Here is a 15,801-nt window from a genome sequence, read left to right as displayed (position 1 = left end):
TTTGTCTAGGAATTTATCCATTTCTTCCTAGGTTTTCCAATTTATTGGCATATAATTTCTCATAGTAGCCTCTAATGATGCTTTGAATTTCTGTGGTATCAGTTGTAATGTCTCCTTTTTCATCTCTGATTTTATTTGAGTCTTCTCTCTTTTTTTTTTTCCTTTGGCTAGAGCTTTGCCAATTTTGTTTATCTTTTCAAAAAACCAACTTTTCATTCATTGACCTTTTATATTGCTTTCTTTGTATCAGTTCATTTATTTCCACTCTGATCTTTATTATTTCTTTTCTTCTACTAATTTTGGATTTGATTTTCTCTTGCTTTCTACTTCTTTCAGATGCATCATTAGGTTGTTTATTTGAAGTTTTTCTTTTTTGATATAGGCATTTATAGCTGTAAACTTCTCTCTTAGTATTGCTTTTGCTGTATCCTATAGGTTTTGGTATGTTGTGATTCCATTATCATTTGTTGCAAGAAAATTTTCAATTACCTTCTTAATTTCTTCTTTGACCCACTGGTCATTCAGGAGCATATTGTTTAATTTCCATGTGTTTTTATGGTTTTCAAAATTCCTTGTGTTATTGATTTGAAATTTCTTACAATTCAGAACCTAGAGTGCTAATCATTTACAAATTTCTTATAAATCATGCAAATTTTATTTTATGTATTTTGAGAGAATACTATGCATTTATTAGTTTGAAACTTTTATATATTCTGGCAAATCGAACTTTTATTATTTTTATTTAAACTATTTTATTGAGGTATGTTTGCCATAAAAAAGCTGTACATATTTGCAATTTGATAAGCTTGAAGATGAGCATGAACCTATGAAACCATCAGTACAATCTATGCCATAAACGTATTCATCACCTCCAAAAATTTCCTCCTACTCTCTCTAGTTTTTATTTTTACAATACATTATTTCATTATAATTAATCTAGTTATGCTTCAGAATTTTGTTTGACTCGTAGTATAATTTATATCACATTAATATAACTACACCAGCTTTCTTTTGACTAATATTGAATTAGTATGCCTTTTGCTGTTTTCTCTTTGTGGTTTCATTTTTAGACAAGTTTTTGTAGGCTATCTTTGTCTTTTGTCTTGTAAATTTAAACCTTTTATAGATATGTGATGAGTTATATTTAGATTTATTTCTACCAGCCTATTTCTTGCTATTTTTAAAATTTGTAGTGTGATTTCGAGCAAACAACTCACATGAAGACTGCTTTTGCTTATGAATTCTCAAAGGTGATTAGAAAAAAAGACAGCTTTATTGAGATATAAATGACATACAATAAATTACAATATTTAATTTGGTAAGTTTTGACATACACACACCCATGACCACAATCAACATAATGAACGTATCTGTCACACCAAAGAATTCATGATAAAACTTTGTAAACCCTCTGTTCTATTTATTCCTGACCTTCTCACCATTCGCATGCCACTGTAGATCTACTTTTAATCAGTATAGATTAGTTTGTATTTTCTAGAATTTTATATGGGTGTATAATATAGTTTTTACTGTTTTCATCTAGTTTATTTCACTTAGCATAGTTATTTTTATATTTATCTGGTTATTAAATGTATCAATAGTTTATTCCTTTTTGTTGTGAGTAGTATTTGTAGGAAGATATTGCTACTTGTTTATCTATTTGCATGTTCATGAATATTTGGGTTATTTCTAAATTTTGGCTATTCCATATAAAGCTGCTCTGAACACTTGTGAAGTCTGAACATATGATTTCTAGTAACTACGTAGGAGTGAACTAGCTACATCATAAGATAGATGTATGTTCAACATTTTAAGAAATTGCCAAAGTATTTTTCAAAGCAGGTGTAGTATTTTACATTTTCACAAGGAGTGTATGAGTTTAAGTTCCTCCACATCCTCATCAAACCTTGGCTTGTAAGAGATTTTAATTTAAATATAAAAGTTGCATGTGTTTTTGTTGTTGTTGTTGTGTTTTAGATTTGCATTTCCCTAATGCTTAATGATATTAAGTACTGGGTATCCTTTCATTGATTTATTTGCTTTCTGTCTATCTTCTTTGATAAGTATCTGTTCAAATCTTTTGCCCATTAGAAAAATTAGTTTGTTTTCTCATTATTGAGTTTTCTATGTTACGTACATATTCTGAACTCAAATCCTTTGTCAGGTAAATGATTTGCAAATATTTTATCCCAATCTTTGGCTTGTTTTGGTGACTTTTAAAATAAGTATCTTTCAAAGAGCAGAAGATTTTTATTTATATGAAGTTCAATGTTTTAATATTTAAAATAGATTGTTCTTTTGGTGTTTTGTACAGTAATTCCTTGCGTAACCCAAATATTTCCTATTGTGTTTTATTCTAGAAGTTTTATAGCTGTAAGTTTTAATTTAGATCTAAGATCCATTTTGAGTTAATATATAACGTGAGGCATGGATTGATATTCACTTTTTTGCATATTGATATCTAATTATTAAAGAACAGTTTGTTGAAAAGACTGTCCTTTCACTGAATAATCTATACACCATTGAACAGTAGTCCATATATGTTTGGTTCTATTTCTGGATTTTATCCGATCCACTGATATATTATCTTTATACAAATACCACACCATGTGGATTATTGTAGCTTTATAGTAAGTCTTAATATCTGGTAGCACTAACACTTTAACTTTGTTCTTCCTTTTCAAAGTTGTTTTGGATATTCAGAGTCTTTTGTATTTCTATATTAATTTTAAAATCAGATTGTCAAAGTCTACCATAAGGCAAGCTGGCAGTTTTCATTGGGGCTTCATTGAATCTACAGATAAATTTGGGGAAAATTGACATCAGAAACTATGGAGTCTTCTATTCCATGAACACATTATATCTCCCCATTTATTTTGGTCTTTAAAATTTTTTCTTAGCAATGTTTTGCTACAGGTCTTGTAAAGATTTCTTCAGATTATTCCTATTTATTTTTACATTTTTTAGGTCTCGAAAATGTTATTACTTTTTCAACTTCAATTTCTGATTGTTCATGACTACTATATAGAAATACAATTTATTTTTGTATATTGGTTTTATATCTGGCAGACTTGCTAAACTAAATTACTAGTTCTAAGAACTTTTGCTGGTGTAAACTCCATTGGGTTTTCTATATAGATAATCACGTTGTTTGTAAGTGTAGACTGTCTTCTTGCTTTTCAAACAGGATGTCTTTTTTTTTCTTTTTCTTGTCTTACTGCAATGGCTAGTAATTACAGTTCAATTAATTGTTATAGTGAGAGTAGACTTCCTTGTCTTCTTCCTAATCTTAGCAGAAAAACAGCCAGTCTTTTACCATTAAGTATGAAGTTAGTTGTAGGTTTTCATAGATGCCCTTTATTAGATTCAGAAAATTCTCTTAATTTATGTTTACTGAGATTTTTCCAAGAATGAACATTGAATTTTGACAGATACTTTTTCTGTATATTCTAAGATAATATGATTTTTTTAGGTTGTTCCTATGGTAAAGTATAATAATAGAGTTTCAAATGTTAAATAAATCTTTCATTCCTGGAGTAAAACTCACTTGGTATTATCAGTTTTATATGTTGTTGGATTTGACTTGCTAATATTTTGTTTAGAATTTTTGCAGCATTTTTCAAGAGGAATATTGATCTTTTAGGTGTTTTTTCCTTTGTAATTTTTGGGAGTTGAGTTTAGTTATAAGGTTAATGCTGAAAGCATTCTAGTCTCTTCGATATTCTGAAAGAGTTTGTCTATGATTAATGCTTTTTTTAAAAAAAATATGCAGTACAATTCCCCCAATGAAGGCATGTGCACCTGGAGTATTTTTTGTGGGAATGTTTTTACCTACAAGTTAGGTTTGTTTAATTTACACTGGTATATTAAGGTTATCTGTATTTACATTTTCTCCCAAAAATATCAGACAGTTTTACAACACAGGGTCCATACTTCACCTGGCCAGAATTAGGCAACACTCAGTAGTAGCTGTCTCTAGTTTGCCATAGTCCCCACAATTCTTTATTAGCCAATATCCTTTATTTATATTAGCTTCTTTGTTACAGTAAGCTTTTGGGTTACTAACTCTTTTTGTTAAACTGTTTTTAATTAGCTGAGCGTTAATTTGCACCAGTTTTGTTATAGATTGTCAGAGCTAGTATAAATCCCAAAGATGATGTATTCAATCTCTTAGTTTAATAGATTAAAAGCTGTAGTGCAAATTACAAGTTCACCCAGAAAGTTATAGGAGAATTAAAAGTAGATGCTAGTGTGTCCAGAATTGGTGGGTTCTTGGTCTCACTGACTTCAAGAATGAAGCCGCGGACCCTTGCGATGAGTGTTACAGCTCTTAAAGTGGCGCATCTGGAGTTTGTTCCTTCTGATGTTCGGATGTGTTCAGAGTTTCTTCCTTCTGGTGGGTTTGTGGTCTCTCTGGCTCAGGAGTGAAGCTGCAGACCTTTGTGGTGAGTATTACAGCTCATAAAAGCAGTGTGGACCCAAAGAGTGAGCAGTAGCAAGATTTATTGCAAAGAGTGAACAAAGCTTCCACAGTGTGGAATGGGACCCGAGTGGGTTGCCACTGTTGGCTCAGGCAGCCTGCTTTTATTCTCTTCTCTGGCCCCACCCACGTCCTGCTGATTGGTAGAGCCGAGTGGTCTATTTTGACAGGGTGCTGATTGATGCATTTACAATCCCTGAGCTAGACACAAAGGTTCTCCATGTCCCCACTTAGATTAGCTAGATACAGAGTATCAACACAAAGGTTCACCAAGGCCCCAGCAGAGTAGCTAGATACAGAGTGTCGATTGGTGCACTCACAAACCCTGAGCTAGACACAGGGTGCTGATTGGTGTGTTTACAAACCTGAAGCTAGAGACAGAGTGCCAATTGGTGTATTTACAATCCCTGAGCTAGACATAAAGGTTCTCCAAGGCCGCGCCAGAGTAGCTAGATACAGAGTGTCGATTGGTGCACTCACAAACCATGAGCTAGACACAGGGTGCTGATTGGTGTGTTTACAAACCTTGAGCTAGATACAGAGTGCTGATTAGTGTATTTACAATCCCTGAGTTAGACATAAAGGTTCTCCAAGGCCCCACCAGAGCAGCTAGATAGAGTGTCAATTGGTGCACTCACAAACCCTGAGGAAGACACAGGGTGCTGATTGGTGTGTTTACAATCCCTGAGCTAGACATAAAGGTTCTCCAAGGCCCCACCAGGGTAGCTAGATACAAAGTGTCCATTGGTGCATTCACAAACCCTGAGCTAGATACTGAGTGCTGATTGGTGTATTTACAATCCCTGGGCTAGACATAAAGGTTCTCCATGTCCCCACCAGACTCAGGAGCCCAGCTGGCTTCACCCAGTGGATCCCGCACTGGGGCTGCAGGTGGAGCTGCCTGCCAGTCCCGCTCCATGTGCTCACACTCCTCTGCCCTTGGGTGGTCTATGGGACTGGGCGCTGTGGAGCAGGGGAAGGCGCTCATCAGGGAGGCTTGGGCCACATGGGAGCCCATGGAGGTGGTGGGAGGCTCAGGCATGGTGGGCTGCAGGTCCCAAGCCCTGCCCCACGGGAAGGCAGCTAAGGCCTGGTGAGAAATCAAGGACAGCGCCGGTGGGCTGGCACTGCTGGGGGACCCAGTACACCCTCCGCAGCCACTGGCCCGGGTGCTAAGCCCCTCATTACCCGGGCCGGCAGCGCCGGCTGGGTGCTCCGAGTGCAGGGCCTGCCAAGCCCACGCCCACCCAGAACTCCACCTGGCCTGCAAGCACTGAACACAGCCCAGGTTCCCGTTCGTGCCTCTCCCTCCACACCTCCCTGCAAGCTGAGGGAGCCGGCTCCGGCCTTGGCTAGCCCAGAAAGGGGCTCCCACAGTGCAGCGGTGGGCTGAAGGGCTCCTCAAGTGCTGCCAAAGTGGTAGCCCAGGCAGAGAAGGTGCTGAGATTGAGCGAGGGCTGTGAGGACTGCCAGCATGCTGTCACCTCTCAATCCCCCCTCTAAACAGGACACCCTAACAGCTGTTGGGAATTTGGTCGTTGACCGCTCTAGCTACTTCCTGCTGGATAGGGGCAAAGAAGGGGCCCTGCAGTTGTAGTGTCCTTCAGAGGGGAACTCTCTAGGCCAGGGGAAGTGCCAGCGGGTCGGTCCAAGGGTCCTCGGTAGAAGTTGTTAGTTGAACTCATTTGGGGTTCCATTTGTAAGACCATCTGTAGCTTAATGGCCTGGATTCTAGAGGAAACAAATTTGACAAGAAGGTTAAAAATACAGGGCCCAAAGGTGAGTAACAGCAAGATGGCTGCCATGGGACCTAGAAAGGGGAGAAGCCATGTTGCCCAACTCCAGAGATTGGTATAAGAATTTGAAAGGCGTTGTCTGATTTCAGAAGCCTTTTCCTGTAAACACTGGGCAGCATCTCCTACTATCCCCGACTGGTTAGTATGAAAACAACATTCTTCCCCTAAGAAGGTGCAGAATCCTCCTTTCTCAGCAGTGAGGAGGTCTAGGCCTCAGTGGTTTTGGAGAATCGCTGCTGCCAAAGAGTCTATTTGGGATTGTAATGTAAGGACAGATTTAGTTATTTCTTGCAAACTGTTTGAGAGGCAGATATGGGTTGAAGATCCACATAAGTAGAATATGCCTTGGCTGGGTAGATAGAAATTTACCCTGGCTTTTAAAGGAATAGGGTACACTATTTTTTTCTTTACTACTTCCATCTCTCTTTGACTTTCTGTGTCTGTCCCTCTTTCTCTCTGACTTCTGTCTCTTTCTTTCCTTTCTGCTGCCTCTGCAAGCTGCTTATGCTGCTGTTCTCCCCTCTCCTTCCCATTTTGATGGCTTTGTCAGTGTAAGATTCCCACCTCTTTGCGTTTTTGCATTGTGTGCAATAACTCTATGATTTCCTTGTGGTATTTAATGGGGGTTCCCCCAGAGGTTAGGTACTCCCTCTCTTTCCATATTGCATCATGGGCATGTAGGATTAGATAAGCATACTTGCTATCTGTATACACATTTATTCTTTTTCCCTTTCCCAGTTCTAAGGCTCGGGTAAGTGCCACTAGTTCTGCTAACTGGGCACTGGCCCCTGGGGGAAGAGGTTTGCTTTCAAGTATGGTTACATCACTAACTATGGTGTAACCTGCCCTTCGTATCCCATTCTCCACAACTAAACTTCCATTGGTATATAGGTTAAGGTCAGGATTAGTTAAGGGGACTTCTAAGAGATCATCTCGGGTGGCATAAGTCTGGACTATAATTTGTTGGCAGTCATGCTCGATTGGTTCCCCATCCTCTGGGAGAAAAGTGGCAGGGTTGAGGGCCATGCACGTGCGTATTTGAAGCACTGGTCCCTCAAGGAGTAGTGCCTGGTATCTAAGTAGGCGGTTGTCTGATAGCCATAAACTTCCTTTGGCACCTAGTATGCCATTTACATCATGAGTAGTCCAGACAGTGAGATCCTTTCCTTGTATTATTTTGATAGCCTCAGACACAAAGATGGCCACTGCTGCAACTACCCTTAAACAGTGAGGCCAGCCTTTTGCTACTACATCAATTTCCTTACTTAGGTATGCCACTGGTTGTGGGGTTGTCCCACGGGTCTGAGTAAGGACTCCAAGAGCTATCCTGGCTCTCTCTGTGACATATAAAAAGAAGTTCTGTCCTGTGGGAAGGCTTAAAGCTGGAGCTTGTACTAGAGACTGCTTTAAGGTTTTGAAGGCTGTTTCTGCCTCTGGTTCCCATTCAACTAGATAAGTATTTGCTCTCTGGGTTTCCTTGATTGGAGTATAGAGGATCCTGCCTATCTCACTGTATCCGGGGATCCATAGTCAGCAAAAGCCGGTAATTCCAAGGAACCCCCGCAACTGTTTTAATGTCTTAGGGTGAGGATAAGCCAGTATAGGTTGTATTCATTCCTTGCTCAGGGCCCTGGTCTCTTTGGCTAAGATAAGGCCTAGATATTTAACCTGCTGTAGGCAAAACTGGGCCTTTGACCTAGACACCTTGTACCCTTGATTAGCTAGAAATTTCAAGAGGTCTAGAGTAGCCTGCTGGCACAAGGCTTCCAAACTGGTAGCCAAAAGTAAATCGTCCACATATTGAAGGACCAGAGTGCCTGGACTTGAGAAATGGCCTAGATCTTGGGCTAGGGCCTGACCAAAGAGATGAGGGCTATCCCTAAACCCTTGGGGCAAGACCATCCATGTAAGTTGGGACATGTGGTCTGTGGGATCCTCAAAGGCAAAGAGGAACTGGGAATCAGAGTGCAGGGGAATACAGAAGAAGGCATCCTGAGGTCCAGAACCATGAACCATTCTGCTTCCTCTGGTATTTGAGAGAGCAGGGTATAGGGGTTGGATACAACTGGATATAGTGGAATTACTGCCTCATTAATGAGTCTAAGGTCTTGAAGTAGTCTCCACTGACTGTTGGGTTTTTGTACTCCCAAAATTGGGATGTTGCAGGGACTACTGCATTTCCTTACTAAGCCTTGAGCTTTCAAATGTTTAACAATATTCTGTAATCCTTTATGAGCTTCAGGCCTTAAGGGATATTGCCTTTGGTAAGAAAAAGTGGTGGGATCTTTTAACCTGATTTGGACTGGGTGAGCATTTTTTGCCCTTCCAAATTGTCCTTCCAATGCCCAGACTTCAGGGTTGATTCCCTCCTCAAGTAGGGGACAACAAATGGGTAACTTGTTCCCTATATTCATGTAGATAATAGCTCCAGCCTTGGCTAATATATCCCTCCCTAATAAGGGTGGGGGACTTTCAGGCATAACAAAAAAGGCATGTGAAAAGAGCAAAGTCTCCCAATTACAACTGAGGAGGTGGGAGAAATACCTGGTTACAGGCTGTCCCAGGATTCCTCGGATGGTAATGGACCTTGAGGACAGTCATCCAGGACAGGAGATTAACACTGAGAAGGCCATGCCAGTGTCCAGGAGGAAGTCAATTTCCTGGCCCTCAGTAGTTAAACATACCTGGGGCTCAGTGAGGGTGATGACATGAGCTGGCACTTGCCCCGGGCACCCTCAGTCCTGTTGTTGGATCATCTGGTTGGAGGCTTCTGACACAGGGAACCTTCATCATCTGGGGCAGTGCACCTTCCAGTGATTGCCTCAGCATAGTGGACATGGACGAGGGGGTAGCTTGTTTCTCATTGGACAATCTTTTTTAAAGTGTCCTAGTAAACCACACTGATAACAAGCCCTACCAGGTGATTGGCCTGCTCCATTTTCTGTCCTCTCTGAACCACCAAGGTTTGTTTGTCTGAGGGCCATGACTAAGGCTGTGGCCTTTCTCTGATCTCGCTTTTCCTTTTGGGCCTGTTCCTCTTGGTCCCTATTATAGAACACCGAGGTTGCCAGGTTTAATAATGCCTCTAGATTTTGTTCAGGGCCCAGGGCTTGCTTTTGGAGCTTTCTCCTGATATCTGCAGCTGATTGGGTAATAAACTTATCTTTTAGAATCAATTGACCCTCAAGTGATTCGGGTGACAGGGGAGTATATTTTCTTAAGGCCTCTCATAGCCGCTCGAGGAAGGCAGGATTTTCTTCCTTTCCCTGAGTTATGGTGGACATCATTGAATAATTCATGGGCTTTTTTCTAATTCTCCTTAGTCCTTCTAGAACACAGGTCAACAGATGTTTATGACTCCAGTCCCCATGATCTGAGTCAAGGTCCCAGTGGGGATCCATACTGGGGATGGCTTGCTGACCAGTAGGGAATTTGTCCCTTTCTTCGGCTGTCATTCTATCATTTACTTGACTAAGATACCAGTTATCTCTGAACTCTTGGGCTGCAGCTAAAGCTGCATTCTTTTCATTAAAGGCCAGGGTTTGATCTAACAGTAGCATGACATCTCTCCAAGCGAGGTCAAAGGTTTGCCCTAGACCCTGTAGGACATCTGTGTACCTATCAGGATCATCTGAAAACTTCCCCAGGTCTGCCTTGATCTGTTTTAAATCAGAGAGGGACAAGGGGACATGTACCCGGGTTGGGCCAAATTCCCCTCCCCCTACAGCTTGAAGGGGACATAACTGATAGCCCGGGGGTTTTGTGGTCCTTTGGTGATTTCTTTGCTTATTTCCTTCTGGGCAGGGGAGATTAGAGGAGGATTACCATTAATAGGAAGGGGAGCTATAGGGAGGCTAGGATATGGGGGTAAGCTGAGAGGTCCTCCTGTGGGATGTAAATTGTAAGCTTTGCATAGTTGTGTATTCTCCCTCAATGAAAAGAAAGCTTGGACATAAGGTATTTCACTCCATTTGCCTTCCCTCTTACAGAAAAGTCAAGCTGCAGGATAGTATTGTAATTTGTACTTCCCTCAGGTGGCCATTTTTTCCCATCAGAGAGAGAATATTGGGGCAAGCCATAGTGCAGAAAAAAATGAGCCACCTCTTTTTCAGGGTTCGTGGGTCAAATTGGTCCCAATGGCTTAGGATGCATTTCAAGGGTGAGCCTGTTGATGCCTGAGTGTTTCCCATCTGAAAGACAAAACCGCCCGTGGTTTTTGTTTGTTTTGTTTCTTCCCCTGCCCAAGAACCCGCAACGGTCCCTGGACCCTGCTGATCAGAATAGTTGTGCTCACCGATGCAGCAGCAGAAACAACCCCTGCCCAAGAACTCGCAACAGTCCCTGGACCCTGCTGATCAGAATAGTTGCGCTCACCAACACAGCAGCAGAAACACTTGTTTTCCTCCCAGACCACATGGAGGACCAAGGAAGGTCAGATTTAGTGGTCCTTACCAACGCATTCTCAAAAACCTGCACCCCTGCCTGTCCTCCTGGACCACAAGGATGACCGACCGAGAAAAATTGGATTTAGTGGCCCTTACCGACGCATTCTCAAAAACCTGTTAGAGTCCTAAGCATTCTCCTGTTAGTATTGGGACTTTAGCCCTGTCCTATAAAGATGTTATGCCCCAAAAGTGAAGTGGAGGGCCACACCCTGAGGGAGGGAAGGGATCTCCAGGGCTGGAAGAGTGACACCTTTTGTCCTCACTTACATGAATAGGAAGGATACAATTTCTGAGGCTCCCCATATCCTAGCTTCAGGAATAGCTTTTGTTAGGCCTATTAGTCTGAGGAGGGATCCTAAAATTCCAGGTAGTCCCCACTATGATGGGGCTTTGGACAAAAATTATGTCTTTCTGATTGGTGAGCCTGGGTGCCTAAAGAAGGTAACAGAGTCCTGGAGTTTATACTAGAAATCATTCTTATAGGAGAAACTAGAAAAGCACCAGAGACAGGTAGCAATTTTTAGAAGCAGGTCTAACCTCAGAGAAGAGAGGCGAGAGGAAATTTGTCTGGCAGGCATTAGGACCCAGGAGGCAAGGGTCAGGATAGATAGGATAGATGGGTGAGTCTCGCCTGGGAGACATGCTTTTGAGAGTTGCGCTCATGGCCGCAGGGTCAACCAACTTGTTGTTGGGACCCTGGAGCTGCATGGCTTTCCTCTCTGTCGACCCTCGGCTCAGCCCAGAAGTACAGGAAAAGCAGAAGCTGGTTCTAGGCAAACCAACGGTCCCATCTCCGAAGAGTCAGGGGTTGTTAGAGAGCCCTTTCCCAGAAAGCCTGACACCCGTGTCTTTAGTCCAGCGGCCGCACTAGTCACTTTTAACTGGCTGACAGGTGCCCGGTATTTAGCCCCCGAATTCTAAGGAAAGATAGGACAGAATAGCAAGCGAAAGGGGTCCGATGGTACTCACTGCTTGGCGATAGGCGATGGTCTCACCGCTCGGCAATTGTCTCACTGCTTGGTGATAGGCAAAAGTCCCTTCGTGGTTGCCAAAATGTGTCCGGAATTGGTGGGTTCTTGGTCTCACTGACTTCAAGAATGAAGCCGTGGACCCTCGCGGTGAGTGTTACAGCTCTTAAAGTGGCGTGTCTGGAGTTTGTTCCTTCTGATGTTCGGATGTGTTTGGAGTTTCTTCCTTCTGGTGGGTTCGTGGTCTCGCTGGCTCAGGAGTGAAGCTGCAGACCTTTGAGGTGAGTGTTACAGCTCTTAAGGCAGCGCTTCTGGAGTTGTTCATTCCTTCTGGTGGGCTCGTGGTCTCGCTGGCTTCAGGAGTGAAGCTGCAGACCTTTGCGGTGAGTGTTACAGCTCATAAAAGCAGCGTGGACCCAAAGAGTGAGCAGTAGCAAGATTTATTGCAAAGAGTGAAAGAACAAAGCTTCCACAGTGTGGAAGGGGACTGAGTGGGTTGCCACTGTTGGCTCAGGCAGCCTGCTTTTATTCTCTTCTCTGGCCCCACCCACTTCCTGCTGATTGGTACAGCCCAGTGGTCTGTTTCGACAGGGCGCTGATTGATGCATTTACAATCCCTGAGCTAGACACAAAGGTTCTCCATGTCCCCACTTAGATTAGCTAGATACAGAGTGTCCACACAAAGGTTCTCCAAGGCCCCACCAGAGTAACTAGATACAGAGTGTCGATTGGTGCACTCAGAAACCCTGAGCTAGACACAGGGTGCTGATTGGTGTGTTTACAAACCTTGAGCTAGATACAGAGTGCCGATTGGTGTATTTACAATCCCTGAGTTAGACATAAAGGTTCTCCAAAGCCCCACCAGAGCAGCTAGATACAGTGTTGATTGGTGCACTCACAAACCATGAGCTAGACACAGGGTGCTGATTGGTGTGTTTACAATCCCTGAGCTAGACATAAAGGTTCTCCAAGGCCCCACCAGGGTAGCTAGATACAGAGTGTCCATTGGTGTATTCACAAACCCTGAGCTAGATACCGAGTGCTGATTGGTGTATTTACAATCCCTGGGCTAGACATAAAGGTTCTCCATGTCCCCACCAGACTCAGGAGCCCAGCTGGCTTCACCCAGTGGATCCTGCACCAGGGCTGCAGGTGGAGCTGCCTGCCAGTCTCGCACCATGCGCCCGCACTACTCAGCCCTTGGGTGGTGGATGGGACTGGGTGCCATGGAGCAGGGGGCGGGGCTCATCGGGGAGGCTTGGGCCACGCTGGAGCCCATGGAAGGGGTGGGAGGCTCAGGCATGGCGGGCTGCAGGTCCTAAGCCCGGTGGGAAGGCAGCTAAGGCCCGGTGAGAAATGGAACACAGCACAGGTGGGCTGGCACTACTGGGGGACCCAGTACACCCTCCGCAGCCACTGGCCCGGGTGCTAAGCCCCTCACTACCCAGGCGGGCAGGGCAGGCCGGGTGCTCCGAGTGCAGGGCCCGCCAAGCCCACGCCCACCCGCAACTCCAGCTGGCCCGCAAGCGGCCCACGCAGCCCCGGTTCTTGTTGGCGCCTCTCTCTCCCACCTCCCTGCAAGCTGAGGGAGCTGGCTCCGGCCTTGGCCAGCCCAGAAAGGGGCTCCCACAGTACAGCAGTGGGCTGAAGGGCTCCTCAAGTGCCACCAAAGTGGAAGCCCAGGCAGAGGAGGCGCTGAGATCGAGTGAGGGCTGTGAGGACTGCCAGCACGCTGTCACCTTTCACTAGGGGGCCAGGCACGGTGGCTCACACCTGTAATTCCAGCACTTTGGGAGGCCGAGGCGGGCGGATCATGAGCTCAGGAGATCGAGACCATCCTGGCTACACGGTGAAACTCCATCTCTACTAAAAATTCAAAATAATTAGCTGGGCATGGTGGTGGGCACCTGTAGTTCCAGCCACTCTGGAGGCTGAGGCAAGAGAATGGCGTGAACCCGGGAGGCGGAGCTTTCAGTGAGCGGAGATTGCACCATTATACTCCAGCCTGGGCGACAGAGCAAGGCTCCATCTCAAAAAAAAAAAAAAAAAGGAGATTCTAGGTTTCTTGTCATTTCCTTCAGTGCTGTTTCGTTGTCCCACCAGAGCCGGAAGGGGGATGGAGTGGAAAGATGACTTTCCCCTGGGGTTTGTCCATCCAGCAGCCTATCTCTTCTCTGCCTACAGACGCTCCTTCTCTTCTCTCTGCTGCGAAGAATATTCTGCTGTTCTTCTGCTATTCTGTTTGTCCTCCTGTCTGCTCATCTGCTTGTCTGCTCATGGTGCCTGGGGTTTGGGGTTTATATGGGTACAGAATGGGGGATGTGGAGGGTCAAAAGGCAACATTTGGCAACAAATGGAAAACAAGAACGCCTGTTCTCATTTAGGGTCCTGGGTTTCCAGGCTTGGGGGTGGGTGTTTTGCTGTAGAGCTGCCCTCTTCTACCCAGTAATTCCCTGTTTCCTGTCTATATCAGTAGCATAGCCATAGAATTCTCTTCCATCACACCTCCATATATTTGACAAATGGGTCAGAATAATCTTGATGCAACATATGAATTTTGTTTATAAGTCTTTTTTATGATCAAATAAGAGGCTGAAAGAGGTTGGGCCAAGGTGTCATATGAGGACATATTTATTAAGTCAGGAACAACTTAATAAGGAGCACCCCCAGGTGCTCTTTTCCTCATCAACCCATTTGTCATATCAGTGTAGTGACTGGGGATAGCATTTGGGCCCTCCTAATTCAGGTTCATTCCCTGACAATAACTACTGCATTTCTTTTGAAGCAGACCTTAATAAAAACCACAAAAATATCATTAGGAAACCTGTGACTAATTCATCACAGTAGACTACATAAAATTTGCTGAAAGTTAACATCATAGCCATATGTTTCTTGTTACGAAGTTATGGTTAGCTACCACTGTGTCCTTATCAGATTTTTGGTGGATCTTTAGGGCGGGTGGTAAGGTAATATTTTTGGGCATGTCTGATCACGGTCTTCTAGCCACACCTTCTCCATTTTTGAGCCTCATCATTGCCCAGGGTACTCATTATTTTTCTTTATGTTAATTACAGAGATCTACGTCTCTGCTGTCAATATATCTTTCACGTTCAGTTCTTCATGAACAGGGTTTCTACTTAGCTAGAGCTCAGAAAGATTGTTTGCATTGCCCCTGTCTTTTTGAAACTGTTAATTACTAACTTAGGGCTCTGAGCTGTTTGAGAACTGCAAGAGATAGGATTCCCTGTTTTGCTTCAGATTGTCTTTTTTATTTCTAGGGAGAGTGTTATCTATGATCAGAACAAGAACCAAATAATGGTTTATACTAGGTTCCATCCCAAGACTCTGGAGGGAATGTCTCCTTGTTGCTGGCAGAACTTTAGGGGGCTAAATCTAGAGCTATAAAACAATAGTGATGTTTGTAGGAACAAAGTTTAACAGTAAGAATTTCTGGATACTTCTCTATGCTGTTTTGATGACAGCTATGACATTTACTGCTTCATTTGGTCTAAGGGGTTATTTTGTATGACTTTATTATTTCTTTCTAGTCTTTCTAAGCCACTAGGCTTTTCATTTGGGCATCTATTTGAATATCTCTTTGGAGAGAAAGATGATCTTGGATCACATCTCTGTAGTCATGCCAGTGGTTCCCAAATGCTTATTTGTGTGTTTAATACCAACTGCACTATATCAGAATCCTTTGGGAGAACTTACTAAAAATATCCATTATCCCAAGATGCTTCCCTGAGTTTTTGATAAGTTATAAATGGGACAAGGTCAAGGAGTCCGTGCTTCTAAAAAGCTCTTTGGGATATTCTTATATGAAGTTGTGTTAGGAAACACTGACCTGGATGGTGAGCATCCTATTTAGGTTTGATGGAGTTTTGTATTTCAACACAAAATAATATTTAATGATAGTAACATTCATTGGATACTTATTATATACGAGGCATTATGATAAGTATCTTTCTGTGGAGTATACATGTCACTTTTATGAAGATTAACGTTATCAGGTAAACCCAATTATTGTTCTTATATGGGGAAACTGAGGCCTTCCCCAAGATCATATAGCTAATGACTGGTACAGATAGGATTCAAACCTCGAGGCTCTA

At 43.3% G+C, this 15,801-nt stretch overlaps 1 annotated feature.

The window, feature by feature from the left end:
- Nucleotides 10,171–10,701: an enhancer, noted in NCBI's record as "OCT4-NANOG hESC enhancer chr11:42898020-42898550 (GRCh37/hg19 assembly coordinates)". NCBI's record gives its function as "activates a minimal SCP1, AML or CMV promoter by ChIP-STARR-seq in naive H9 embryonic stem cells {active_cell/tissue: H9 hESC(naive)}" and the evidence as "EXISTENCE:reporter gene assay evidence [ECO:0000049][PMID:30033119]".

Source organism: Homo sapiens, chromosome 11, assembly GCF_000001405.40.
Source record: "Homo sapiens chromosome 11, GRCh38.p14 Primary Assembly".
Lineage (NCBI taxonomy): Eukaryota > Metazoa > Chordata > Mammalia > Primates > Hominidae > Homo > Homo sapiens.
The sequence above is the reverse complement of the archived record's forward strand: the minus strand, read 5'-3'. Positions and strand labels throughout refer to the sequence as shown.